General features: G+C 35.7%; 1 protein-coding gene across 4 annotated transcripts in view; it reads right to left on the reverse strand.

The window, feature by feature from the left end:
- Positions 1-15,234, reverse strand: part of PTCHD4 (patched domain containing 4) — a 254,525-nt gene that overhangs the window by 213,895 nt on the left and 25,396 nt on the right. The gene's annotated exons all lie outside the window — the stretch shown is intronic.

The following is a 15,234-nucleotide window of genomic DNA, read 5'->3' on the forward strand; positions in this document are numbered from 1 at the left end:
TTGAATTTCTACTGAGTGCAGGAATAGCTTCTATATTATCTCTGGTAGTTCTCCATCTGGCCCATGCTACAACATTCCCAAATTCACAAATTTTTCTAGGAAGCCCATTCTATTGTTACACTGCCTTTTCTTGTATTCAGTCAAACTCAATCTCTTTGCCACATTCATAGACTAGTCTTTCCTCTCCTTCAGTGGAGTCACTTTTGCATGCCACTGTCAGATCTTTTTCTCACTTTATATAATGTATTCCATTAGTGACACATGATGGGAAAGTTTTGGCTATACAGCAGAGAGGAAATGTATCTATCGTCCATTTTCTATACCTTCGTTATTACATTAAATATACTTGGCTATATCCTCTACGTTAAATTTTTTAATAGCCTTTATGCAAAATATGCAGTAATAGATTTTAGAAATGGACATTGTTGCATAACTTATCAAGTCCATTTTATAAGTAAGGACACTAGAAATGACAGAGATTAAGTGACTTCAAGGCCACCCTCAGAGTTCTCTGTAAAGCTGAGACTGGTCTCTGGCTATCTTGCTTCTCAGCCCATTTCATTTCCTTCGGTAGCATCAGGCAGCGTACTCTCTTCTCACAACAAACAAATATGTCAGTGTTATTGTCTTTTTTCTTATTCGCTTCATTTCCCACACTTCCTTCTTCAATAAATTTAATAGAATTAGGGAAGAATAAAGATACCAATGTATAATTGACTAAATAATGTATGGTATATACCTGAGATGAACCACTCTGACATAAATGTAAATCATGTTGTAGAATTATAATGGCATGGAAATACATTCACTGAATGTTAACTGAAGAATTAGGTGCAATATGAAACCATTTTGCAAAATAAAAAATATACACATAGAAAAAAGATGAAAGATGCATTAGAATGTTTCCGTTTATTGCTAGATGATGGGATTGTGGGTGAACTTATAAAATAATGCATTTGCTAATTTTAGAATAGCTTTAAATGAAAGGAAATTGGCAGATAGTGTAGAACATTTCCTTATAACCTATGCTCAGTTTCTCCTATTATTAATATCTTACATTAGTTTGGTAAATTTTTGAAATTAAAGAATCAATATTAATACATTATTATTATGAGTTCATACTTTATTTACTTTTCCTTACTTTTTACCTCATGTTATTTTTCTGTTCCAGGATCCTATCCTGGATACCACATTGCTTTTCATTGTCTTGTCTCTTTAAGACCCTTTAGGCTATGACAGTTTCTCAGGCTTTCCCTGCTTTTGATGAGCTTGACAGTTTTGAGAAGTATTGGTCAGATATTTGGTGGAATATTCCTCAATTGGGAATTGTCTGATGTTTTTCTCATGATTAGTCTGGGGCTAGGAGATTTTTGGGACGAAGAACAGAAAGGTAAAGTGCCATTTTCATCACATAATATCGAGGGTGCATTCTTTCAAAGTGACTTATCACTGTTGATGTGAACCTTGATCACTCAACTGAAGTGGCATTTTTCAGGTTTCTCCACTGTAAAGTTAATCTTTTTACTATCCTCTGTACTGTGTTTTTTTGGACAGAAGTCACTATGTGCAGCTTACACTTAAGGAGTGGAGAGTTAGGCTCTACCTCCTTCCTCCTTAAGGTTGGAGTCCGTAATTTGCAAATCTTGTGCACAAGATATTTGTCTATTTTCTCTATTTATTCATTCATTCATCCAGCCAGTCTTTTATTTATATTGGCATGGACTCATGGATATTTCTGGATATTTCTTTTCTACTTTGGGCTATAATTTGAAAATACTTTCTTGCTTAAATTTTTCCAGCTTTGGCCACTGAAAGGAATTCTTTCAGTTGCCTCCTGTGTCTCTGTGATATTCCATTACTGTGGGGTATTTTCTTCTTTTCTAGGAGTATTACTACTTCCTGGTACTACAAAATGCTGCAGGCTCATCTTGTGTATCTGTCCTATCCCAGTCCTAGAATCAGCCACTTCTCCAAGCAGCCTTTGTTTTATTGGAGAATGGTACTACAAACAAAGATCTGGGTGCCAGATATGCTGGTTGTTACTGAGTTATCATTGCTTCTAATCCCTGACAGAGCAATGACATTACATGGATGTATACTTATCTATATCTGTGTGTGTGTGTTGTGTATCTGTAATGGTTTTTATATAACTATCTGCATCTATATTAAGCCAACTATGAGTTTATATTTATGACTCCAACTCTCATCTATTGCTACATAGATTATTGTAGCCCCTTTCCCTTGTTTTCCTGCAACCTCCCATTTCTACAGTGAAAAGTCTGGGTCTATCAGTGATTTAAAAATTGTTTTTCTATAACAAAAATATATATTTTTAATAAGAAAAATAATTTAAAATAAGGAAGAAAAGCATGGTTGCTCAATTTTTATACTGTTAAAAGTCAATGCCAAATACTATTAGGGATTCATTAGAAAGATAAGTTATATGATAAAAAGAAGGGAAATGTTAGCAATATTCCAGATTAGCCCACAGAAGGTTAATTTTCACTAAAACATCAGTGGATATCAATCACATGGTAATTATTGCAAATCTGATTTAAAATAGGGCTTAATATAAAGCTGAAAGTGGTGCATTTAGGGACCAATTAGTAACAACACATTAATTGGTTCTTTAGTTCAAACAGAATTCATGTTTTCTGATATATCTTTGTCAGTATGAGTTTTCAAGACTTAGAATCAAGTTGGGACTTATTAGCTTGTACTTTTGCAGGATGAGACACCAGAGAAAACTGGACTTGGACACAGAATAGCTGAGTTCTAGGCCAATTCCATAATTTACTTCCTAGATGTTTTAAATAAGACACCTAATTATTTGGTCCTGTTTGTTCATAAATATAGATTACATTTATTCACTTGCTCAATTCACTCATAGCAGTATTCACAAAAACTCAGTAAGTTTGCCACATTAATTTATGCTCTAATACTACCAATTCTAACCATTCTAACATGCTAAGCCTCCAAAGCTCAGTGGAATAAAACAAAGTTTTATCTTGTTCAAGGTTAGCAGTCCCTTGTGGATATTTCTGGTCATCCAGGAAAGGAATCAAGCTCAGGCCTGGATTCCACAAAGTCATTCATCCACCTTCCGCTGATGACTTCAAAGTCCTTCCTGAGGTCATTTCCTAGCCTATGAGTTGCAGAGTTGCAAATGGGAAAAGAGCCGGAAGAAGCACACCTGGGAGGTTTTGATGGTTTCTTCTGAAATGCATGAGAAACATCACTTTTTCATGCATCTCTCTGATTTGCACTTAACCTCCAGGGAGGCTGAAAAAAATGCAGTTTAACTTTGTGCCAAGGGAGAAGAGCAGATGAGCTTGATGATCAGGCAGCAAACTCACCCTCTTTCTGGATTCTTTGCCCTGTTCACCTTCAGTCCTGATTATAAGTTCAGGGCTATCATCTGACCCCCTTTTGTCATTTTACATCAGACTTTTTCTGCCACTGCCATCTCAAGGAATGCTGGCTTGTGGGTTTTAAGAAGATGCTCTTTGACCTTCTTCTGTGACGGGTTTAAGGAGTTTGCCAGGGATTAGCCTCATCGCTTGGCTCAGGCCTCTTGTATGCAGAAGGGCGTATCCGAGATATAACGTTTTACATTTTAGAGGCAATTTTGGTCTTTAGCATTTTGGTTGTCTGCAGCTGTAACTGGCTTGAATAATAAGGACATTTCTTATCTCACATAACAAGATGTCCACAAGAACAGTAGTTATAGAGCTGGTTAATTTAGAGACTCAAGAGTGTAATTAAGAACCCAGGTCATTTTCCTCTCGGCCTTGCCCATGCCCACAGCTTGAGCTCTGTGCTCATGCTTGCTCCACAGGCAACACACGCAGACAGACAAGATCCCAAGGAAGAAGCTGCCTCAGCAATTGTGTCTTGTAAGAGTGAAGAAGCTTTTCCCAGAAGGCCTCCAGTAGATTTCCTCTTAAGTCTCATTTCCCATGCCCATGTCTAAATCAATCACTGGTGAGAGGAATGATAATGTGGTAATTGGCTGAAGCCAATCTGGACTCACACTGGTGCTGGGAATGGGGCCAGCCTCCTCTCTGAGCACATTGTCACGGGGGAGTTTATGCAGAGTTTGTTTTGTTTTGTTTTGTTTTGTTTTAAACCAGTTTCTTTAGGAAGAAGCATGATAAGATGTTGGGGATGTTTGGGTCTTGGGCAGCTAACACTAACCTTGATGCTGAGTTTTTCTGTATGAAGCAAATTTGCTTCTGGAGACTGCTTTCTAAATGGAAAATAGAACTGTAATCTGTTCAAATGAATTGACTTACTGATTTTTAATTCATTTATGTTAAAAAGCTTTATAATGGTACAGGAAGGAAGCCCAATAATATCTGATATTTTTAAAAATTATCTTTATTTAAATAGGATATAAGCATATCTTTATTTAAATTATCTTTATTTAAATAGAATATAAGCATATATATTATTCACCTGGAAAATCTTCTATCTCTATTCACTATATCTTTGAGATGAAACTCAGTGATGTAAGGAGTCCATGCAAGCATCTTTTCTTAAAGTAATAAGAAGTTTAGATAGAATTTGCATTAATTGATGACCTAAAATTCATCCTATTTAAGAGGGTACATCAAAGATGACTCATGGGTTCAGTCTTGTTATGTTGTTGCATGTTGTTTGCTTAAAGCCTATGATAAACACCATTCTTATTCTAATGGTAAAATATCCAACTATATGTTTAACAGTGTAAAAAGAAAGCCTGTAGACACTCACTTTTGTCCCATTTATAAATGAATCATAAGTATGGAATTTTCCCCAGAGGTAGTATTTTTCTATGGTGGAAAGTAGTTAAAGTTCTGGAGAAGATTTCAGACAATCAAGTTTTGTGGGTTTTTTTTTTTTTTTTGTACTAGTTAGTTTAATCACTTAACTGCTTAACCACTATATCACCTTGGTCAAATCATTCCATGTCAATAAACCTTAGATTCATATGTACAAACCAAAACAAAGTACAGTTAATATTTTGTATCTCAGAAAAATTGCAGGTTCATTTCCAGACCATCACAATAAAGCAACTATTGCAATAAAGCAAGTCACACAAATTTTTTGGTTTCCCAGTGCATATAAAAATTATCTTTATGCCATACCATAGCCTGTTAGTTGTCAATAGCATTACATCTAAAAATGTACATAGCTTAATTAAGAAATCCTTTATTGCTGAAAATGCTAATGGTCATTTAATATTTCAGCAAGTTGTAATCTTTTTGCTGGTGGAAGGTCGTGCCTTGATGTTGATGGCAGCTGACTGCTCAGGGTGATGGTTGCTGAAGGTTAGAGTGGTTGTGGAAATTTCTTAAAATAAGACAACAATGACGTTTGCCACATCTCTTGACTTTTCCTTTCATGAAAGATTTCTCTGTAGCATGAAATGTTGTTTGATCGCATTTCACCCACTGCGGAACTTCTTTCAAGATTGGAGTCATTCCTCTCAAACCCTGTGCTACTTTATCAACTAAATTTATGTAATGTTCTAAGTATTTTGTTGTCACTTCAACTATATTCACAGCACTTTCACCAGTAGATGCCATCTCAATAAACCACTTTCTTTGCTCATCTATAGGAAACAACTCTTCATCCATTAAAATTTTATTTTGAAATTGCAGCAATTCAGTCTCATCTTCAGACTTCACTTCTAATTCTAACTATTTTGCTATTTCTACCACATCTGCTGTTGCTTTCTCCACTGAAGTCTTAAATTCCTCAAAGTTATCCATAAGGGTTGGAATCAACTTCCTCCAAACTCCTATTGATGATGATATTTTGCCCTTCTGTCATAAATCATAAATGTTCTAATGGCATCCAGAATGGTGAATTCTTTTCAGAAGGTTTTCAGTTTACTTTGCCCAGATTCATCAGAGGAATCAGTATCTATGGCAGCTAAGGGCCTTACAAAATTTATTTCTTAAATAATAAGACTTGAGGGTTGAAATTACTTCTTGATTCCTGGACTGAAGAATGGATGATGTATTAGCAGGCATGAAAACAATGACCATCTTCTTGTATGACTCCATCAGAGCTGGTGGGTAACCAGGTGCATTTTCAATGTGATAAAAGAAAAACTTACTCCAAATTAAATGTAAAGGAGTTTAATTGAGCAATTAATGATTCATGAATTAGGCTGCCCTCAGAATCACGGCAGATTCACAGATATTCCAGGGATGCCTTGTGCTCGGAATGAATTTATGGAGAAAAAAGGTAAAGTTATGTACAGAAACAGCAAGATTTGCTACAGCTCTGCGTTAGCCTTATTTGAGTGCAGTTTTAACACTCAGCAGTCTATGAGTGGTTGAAGTATGGCTGCTGGGATTGCCCAACGCTCAGCTATTGTTATGGGCGCATACTATTAAGTTAGGTTTTCAATTTTGTCTGACTATTAAGCTAGGTTACAGTTCATCCACAAGGACTCAAATATAGAAGTATGTAGCCCTACTCAGGCCATATTTAGTCTGCTTTAACAAGTGAGCAGTAATATTTTGAAAGGACTCTTTTTCTAAGTGATAGGTCTCAACAGCTGACTTAAAATATTCAGTAAAGTGTACTGTAAACAGATGTGCTCTTATCCAGGCTTTGTTGTTTCATTTGTTTAGCACAGGTGGAATAGATTTAGCATAATTCTTAAGGGCCCTAGGATTTTGGGAATGATCAATGTGGCACCAGACATATCTGCTCCTTATAAGAGAGTCCGCCTGTCCTTTGAAGCAGGACATTGACTTCTCCTCTCTAGCTTACATGGCATCTTCTTCTAGTATAAAGCTGCTTTGTCTACATTGAAAAGTTGTTGTTTAGTGTATCCACTTGCATTCATTATCTTAGGTAGATCTTTGGATAACTTACTACAGCTTTTTTATTAGCACTTGCTGATTCACTTTGCATTTTTGTGGAGATGACTTCTTTCCTTCAACCTCATGAAACAACCTCTGCTAGCTTCAAGGTTTTTATCTGAAGCATCTTTACTTCTCTCAGCCTAGCTTCCAGACTGTCTCAACTTTTGACATGCCTTTCAAACTAAGCTTAATCATTTCTAGCTTTTGATTTAAAGTGAGAAATGTTCAACTCTTCCTTTCACATTCTTGAATACTTAGAGGCCATTTAGGGTTATTAATTGGCCTAATTTCAATATTGTTGTATCTCAGGGGAATAGGCAGACTTGATGAGAGAGAGAGAGATGAAGGAGCTGCTGGTTGGTGGAGCATTCAGAACACACACAGTAATTTAAGTTTGCAATCTTGTATGGGTGCAGTTTAAGGCACCCCAAAACAATTACAATAGTACCATCAAAGACCACTGATCACAGATCATCTTAACAGATATAATATTAATTTAAAAGTTTGAAATGTGATATCTAGACACAAAGTGAGCACATGCTGTTAAAAAAGTGACACCAATAAACTCGTTCAATGCAGGGTTCCTACAAATTGAAGGTTTGTAGGAGAAAAAAAACACAATATCTGCAAAGCACAATAAAGTGAAGTGCAATAATATGAAGTGTGCCTGTAATAGAATTTAACTAGGTGATGATTAAATTTTCTCCAGCTGTGATTTTATGATATTCTAGACTTTGATTTCCTGGGATTCCTTTGCTAGGTTTGCCACATCTTAAAAAAGAGCAGCCTCTGATTCCCTACTCAAGTCTCAGTCTGTCTTCCCTGGTGATTCATGTATTTGCACAATACCAAACAGAGAGCCATTGAAGATTGGGAGTGGCCCACCACTCAAGAACACAAGCTTTGGCATTGGTCTGGAAAAAGATGGAAACTGTAAAAATACTTGGAATATTGTGGCCACAGAGGAATAGCTGGACTGAAGATTAAATACTGCCTGCCAAATTATAGTATGGTGCAGAGTCTTATTGGATCAATGCACAAAGATGACATGCTGCTTTGTGCACATTCAATTTTTAGTCATTTAAATAAACATTTTCTAATTTGGGAAGAAGTACAACAAATTTTTAAAAGCATTTTTAGATTTATTCTCTTCTTAAATCCAATAGTAATATAAGTTGGTCAGTTTTAATCTATAACATAACTGAAGGATTTTCTACATTTTTTTCTTCCTTCCTTTTTTCATTTTCTTCTTCCTTTTTTACCTTTCTCTCAGCAGAAACTCTTTTTTTTCTGAAATGTTTTTAACAAGGCCTTCTTCAAAGTACTCTAAAAATGTATCTCTTTCTTCTGGAAGAACCAGAATATATTTCTCTCTTAATGTTTGTTATGAAATTGCATATTTTGGCCGGGCGCGGTGGCTCATGCCTGTAATGCCAGCACTTTGGGAGGCGGAGGCGGGCGGATCACGAGGTTAGGATATCGAGACCATCGTGGCTAACACGGTGAAACCCCGTCTCTACTAAAAAATACAAAAAATTAGCCGGGCGTGGTGCCGGGCGCCTGTAGTCCCAGCTACTGGGAGGCTGAGGCAGGAGAATGGCGTGAACCCGGGAGGCGGAGCTTGCAGTGAGTCGAGATCGCGCCACTGCACTCCAGCCTGGGCAACAGAGCGAAATTCCATCACAAAAAAAAAAAAAAAAAAGAAATTGCATATTTTCCCAAAAGTGTATGCTTACATTCAAATTGGGTTGTTGGTTACCAAACTGAGGTTTTGGTGATGTTACTGTACCCAGAGAGAAACCTGCTTATTAAGGATGAGTTTCTCATTAATTACCTTGCATAGTCGTAACCATGAAAATGAATCCCGTTCCCTGACAATTCTCCCATCAGAGTTTGACAAATTAAAGAATTTTATGAAGCCTTTTCTTGAGCAAAAGTGGGCATCACACTCACCATTAAAGAGGCATCTAATGGGAAACCAACTGGGATGTTGCCACTTAATGGGCTCTGTATTTATCATTACATTATCAAATATCAACATTCATATCACTGTAAAGAAAACAACAATAGAAGAGTACAGTATTCCCTACTTCTGGTAACAGCATCCCTGGCCAAGTAGGGCAGAGGAGAAAAAGGCAGTGAGAAGGGGACTTTGTAGGGAGGGTTTGGCACAGAGAGAGTGTTCTAATCTAGTAGGGCGGAGTGTTTGACCCCTGACATTGTTTAGAATGAAAATACCTTGTGACAATAAAAAGCAGACCAGTGTTTAGTCTATTTTATTATTTCTTTAAATTTCCTACAGCCAGTGCTATTATTGCCTATACCTGGGGTGGAGTGCTTCCACCTCTCCACCTCCATGGCAACCCTTCATATACCACTGCTCCTAGGAGCTGAAACTGTGATTTCTGAATAACTTCCCATTCAATATTATAGTATATTGGTGAAGAGATTTGGGTAGAATTTATAGCCAATTTGGGATTATTATAGGAAAGAACTAGTTGCTCTTATACAATTCAAAACCCTGCCCCTTATGATGATTTTTTTTTTTTTTTTTTTTTTTTTTTTTGCCCTTCAGACTGATGTAGAAATTGAGAGGAAAGAAATAGAAGAGCCTAACTGCTGGTGTAGCAGAATCAGCAGATGACTTTGTTTCAAATAGAGATTTCTTGCTGGAAAAAACAAATTTCCTCAGAAAATATAAGTGAAATGATGTTAGATAAAAAACTCAGACTATGTTTGACATTCAAAAATTTAGTCTTCAGCCTGTCAAACAAAGTGAAGAATTCTACTATGACCTTGGCAAATATTCAGCCTTTTAGCTAAAAAAAAGCAATGTAAACAAAATGAGTACATATCCAAGTTTTATATGACTGTTCACATGCCACATATACTGACACATCTCCAGAAAACATATAGACTGTCTGGGGATTTAGTTATCTTGTTGACATAGGCAAAATCAATAGGCATTTATAGAAACTGTGATGAAACGTCTTTCTGTGAGACCTCATCTTTGGCAAAGTGCCCCTTCTTTGCTGAGCAGCTGTAAAATTTAGTGTAGTCTTTATTCTATTGTATTGAGGTAATCCATGCCTACTTCCTACATAGACTGTAGGCTTCCTGGGGGGAATTCCTAATGCTCTCTAGAGTTGTACTCTAATTTCTAGCAAATGCCTGACACATAATCACATAATAGCTACTTAATTTATTCTAGAATAGCTTTCCCAGTGTCAGAGAAGTATGGATGAGAACTACGGAAGATAAAAGAAGTATAAATGTCACTAAGGATAAGACACAACAGGCTAACTTCAATCTTGAGGCGTGATCTTTGTGGCTGATGATGTGGGTCTCAATTCCTGTTTGCCTTGTGTACATTCTCCTTTTGTTCCCAAGTACCTCTTTGTTTGGCCCTCCTAGCTGCCCTGCCACCAGCCTCAGCTCTCCCGGTATTAATGGATTGTCTGGGGCTTACCTTTCTTGTTTTTAGCATTGTATGTTTCTGATACTTGTTTCTGTTTTTGGTGATCTTCAGGATCTAAACAAAGTTCATTATGGCTGAAGTGTAAATGCAGGGGCAGAAGTAGCAAAAGACAAAGGCAAGGTGGGCAAGTACAAAAATATAAAGAGGCATGGAAACCACGTTTATTCAATGCACTCACCAAAGAGTTACTGAATAACCAAAATGTACAAAACCCTCCTATGTACAAAACCCTACCTATGAAGGTAATAGCACAAGGATGGTGTGAAATGAAAAAATTTGAGAGCTACTTACAAGTGAAAATAGATGTAATTTGGTGATAGATTAAATGTGGATGTGTACATTAAAAGCGGGCAGCATACCTCCTGAATTCACTTGAAAAATAAGTGTAAAAACAGCAAGACTGACATTTCTGCTCTGTTTTAGGAATAATGGCAATACAGCATGGTAGATATATAGACTCTGGATACAAACAAATCTAGGTTCAAATCTCTCAAATCCATCTTCTGCCACCTTCTAGTGGTGTTACCTTGGTCAGATTATTTAACCACTCTAAACTTTAGCCTCCTCATCTGTAAAGTGGGATAATAAAAGCTCACACCTCTTAGACTAGCGTGAGGATTAAGTGAAATAACAAATATATTTATTCAAATATATTAATAGAATTAGTATGCATATTATATAAAGTTATAAAATAATTATTAAATGTGCTTCTTGCCTTCAAAGTGCTTATCTGACATCAAAGGAAGTACATAATTGCTTGAGAGTGAAATTATTTTACCTATATTTAATAGCTATAAGTGTATATAGATATGTTTTGCTATTATTTGTAGGATTGTAGGCATTAAGAAGGATATAGTTGTGTGTGAAAAATTTATGATAGTCAGCAGAGAAACTTAGCTATGTTGAATGTTTACTCTATGCTAAACAGTAGGCTATTTACTTTGTATTTATTGTCTAATTCATTACTAAAGAAAACTGTGGCATAGAAATTGCTATCCATTATTACAGGTGCTAGGACTGAGGTCCAGGGTTTAGGAGTTACTGAAATTTAAAATCAGGCCTGCCCACCCAAAGGCCCTGTTCATTCTGATATTCAGGCTGTTGAGTGGAAAAATTTTCTGTGTTCTTGGCCTATTTTGGATATGTCCTTTTTAAGAATAACTGTCTATTTCTTGACTTTCTCCTACCTTGCCTATTCATGAATCCAGGGGAAATATTCCAATGCCTATGTCAAATATGCCACAGGAAAAACAGCTTGGCTTAAGATTTTCTTCTGTAGCCAGCAGAGTTCAGGAGTCAGGAAATGAATGAAGAAGGAAGACATCAGAACAGGGGAGTCAAAAGAAAAAATGTGGCTTATGAAACTTTCTTCTTAGGTCTTATAAAAATTCATTCAATCCATGTTTCTTTTATTCAAGCTCTGGCCTATTTGGTCAAAAGAAGCAACCTTAGTAATTAGCTGTACTCTCAATTCCTCAGTCATTTCTGATCTGTGAACTGGAATAATTTCCTGATGATAGGACAGTCTCCATCACATATTTCTTAAACAGATGAAACCACACACACACACAATGCATAATTCCATATTTTTATACTTTTGTCAAAATAATTCAAATAGCACATATGCCCTGTGATTAAAAATAAGACTCTTCTATCCACATCTTCCTACTTTCAGTTATACTCCCAAGATGCCATCCCTGCCATTTTCTTTAGCTCTTTCTTTTTGAGGATTTCTCCATATCCCTACACAATATTTACAGAGCTTGATTTCAGGATTAACTACTTTAAACCAAAGGTTTTTAATCACTTCTTTTATATTCCCACAAAATTAAGTCAATTAGATTTATAAAAATAACTAGAGTTCTCCTTAAAATATAAGAAATTGACATTATTAAAAACACTGAAATGTATATAACGAATGGTATACGAAATAATTATTTATATTTATTTTGATATAATTTAGTGCAGAACAGATTTACTCTCATTTATTTAACCATCTTATTGGTACATGTTTGGCTTAGTTCCATATTTCTGCCTTTTTAAATAATGCTAAATAAACATCATTTAATATAAAACTGTTACTAAATATAAGCATATAAATAGTTACCCAGGGGAAAAAAAAGTAATATAATTACCGGCATATTTGCACAGTATTTTTTGTTTTTGTTTTTTCAGTTTTGGAAAAATATTTTTAAACTTTCTTCCAGAAAGTCTGCATATATATATATTTTAATATATATTCATATATACATATTTATACTTTTTCACTAGATAGGGTATTGGCAAGCTTTTTCTGTAAAGGGCTAGATATTTTAGGCTTATGGGCTAAAAGGCAAAATAGAGAATATTATATGGGTAACTATATAACAAGAGAAAAACAAATTCTCATATATTTTACTTAACAAAACAGATAGTAATAGTAGAGTATAATTTAATTAACAAAATACAATAGTAATAATAGAGTATAATTTTTGTAACATAGTTCTACTAAGAAGAAGAATGGAATTCTTTTTGGGTAATCACATTTGCTTAGTTGGATATGGTAGGCAGAATAATGGCCCTAGATATATGTCTACATCCTAATCCTTGTAGCCTTTGACTATGTTCTATAACAAAAGGGACATTGCAGATATAATTAGGATTATGGGGGTTAAAATGGAAGATTTACCAGAATTATTCAGGTGGGCACTTTGAGACAGAGAACTTTCTGAAGCTGGAGTCAGAGAGATGCAGCAAAATAAGTTAGAGAGATTAGAAGCATGAGAGGCACTTAACCTGCCAGAGGTGGAAGGGCCACATGGAAAGCATGAAAAAGAATGTGTCTGGAGTATCTAAGAGCTAAGATTAGCCCCTGGCTGACAGTCAGCAAAGAAATGGGGGCCTCAGTTATACAACCACAAGAAATCAAATTTGTTTAAAATCTGAATGAATTTAGAAGTAGAATTGTCCCCAGCGTCTCCAGAAAGAAACACAGCTATGTTAATACCTTGATTTTCGTCTCAAGAGATTTCTAAGCAGAGGACTCAGTTAAGCCACATTATACTCAGACTTTTGAGCTAAATATCTGTGAGATAATAAATGGGAGTTGTAAGCCACTAAGTCTGTGGTAATTTGCTATAGCAGTGATTAAAAAAAAAACCTCCTATATGGGGTTCGAATTTAGCGTTCTCAACCATCAAAATTAATTGCAAATATTAATCTCTTAATGTTGATCTGGAATGAAATTTTGTGTGTTTCATCTATGAAATTTCTTTCACACAGCTATTGCCAACTACTGTTAGCAATCTACAAAGCATATGATTTAATTGGATTTGTTTATATCTTAAATAAAAGGAATCTCTGTATTCTACTGGATACTTCTCTTGATATTTGACTTTTAACATGTGATTACATTTCAGATTAATCACTTCCAATTGAATGTTAGATGGAAACTCCACAGTTGCAGTTAAATGGATTTTGAAATATGAAAATTCCTTTGCACTTTCATCATAGTCACAAAAATGCTGCTGTAACTGTATTTTTAGGTCAGAAAATTTTAGTAGTGAGTAGTTTAGCTCACTACTAATTTGTGGAAGAGTGTACATCTAGTTAATTGTTCTAATGTTTGGCAGCACAATGCATATAGAACATTTGACATTATTTGTGACTCAATATCAGTTTTTGTGGAAATGACTACTGAAATATACATTTCACATATAAGCACTATTTGGCTTTTCTTAATGTTCTTTAAGAAACACTTTTAATTCTACAGGAATATCTAATTTCAAAACCGCTCAGTGTTTTATAACAGTGATTGAGAGTACTTTTCTTTTTTTCTTTCTTTCTTTTTTTTTTTTTTTTGAGACAGAGTCTCGCTTGGTCTCCCAGTGTCACTCAGGCCGGAATGCAGTGGCACGATCTCAGCTCACTGCAACCTCCACCTCCCAGGTTCAAGCTGTTCTTCTGTCTCAGCCTCCTGAGTAGCTGAGACTACAGGTGCACGCCACCACACCTGACTGATTTTTTGTATCTTAGTAGAGACGGTGTTTCACCATGTTGCCCAGGCTGGTCACAAACTCCTGAGCTCAGGCTATCCCCCTGCCTCGGCCTCCCAAAGTGCTGGGATTACAGGTGTGAGCCACCCAACCAGCAAGAGTACTTCTCATTAAAAAAAAAAAAAATTAGTCTGGGCCCTGAGCTCACAGTCACCCGATAGTTAAGTCTGCAAGAGTGAAGGAAATTTACTGTTGATGGTATGGTTCAATAGCACACAATGGATTCAAATATTTTCTGCAAAGTACCTGCTGATGAATAATACATGCATAGCAAGGGGTTTAAATACCTTACATTTTTACAAGCTTTGTAAATTTATAAAAATTAAGTTATTTTCTGCTTCATACTTATTTTTATCACTATCAGTTATAACACATCTTAGCAGATTCCACTTCAGGTCATGCTTAATTAGTGTTTTCTTGGCTTTTTTTAGAACATTCTCACATATAAGCATATTGATAGAGGTTAATTTTCCAGTCACTTCAAACTTGCCATTGACTTCTCTAATAAGGAACAACTGACTAGAATTGATAACATGAGTTGATCATCAAGAACCAAGAAAAGCCTCTCAAGATCATTTGCCTTTTTCATTTTTAGCTGACTATTGATATACTCACAGTGTTTTCAATTCTTTGAGAAACTATTCTTGCCAGAAAGTTGACAGTCCTAATTACTTTCTCTAGCTGCATTTCTTTAGTTGCTGCAATCACTCATGATTTTATACTACAACATCAGCAAAAGGATTTCCTTGCTTGGCTGATAAGTGAGCTGCTGAGAAATTTAGTTGCAGCCTCATTTTTGTATTTCATTTTTTGAAGAAATTCTGTCATGATAAGATATTCCATTTACAATTTTCTA

Source organism: Homo sapiens, chromosome 6 (assembly GCF_000001405.40).
Source record: "Homo sapiens chromosome 6, GRCh38.p14 Primary Assembly".
Classification (NCBI taxonomy): domain Eukaryota; kingdom Metazoa; phylum Chordata; class Mammalia; order Primates; family Hominidae; genus Homo; species Homo sapiens.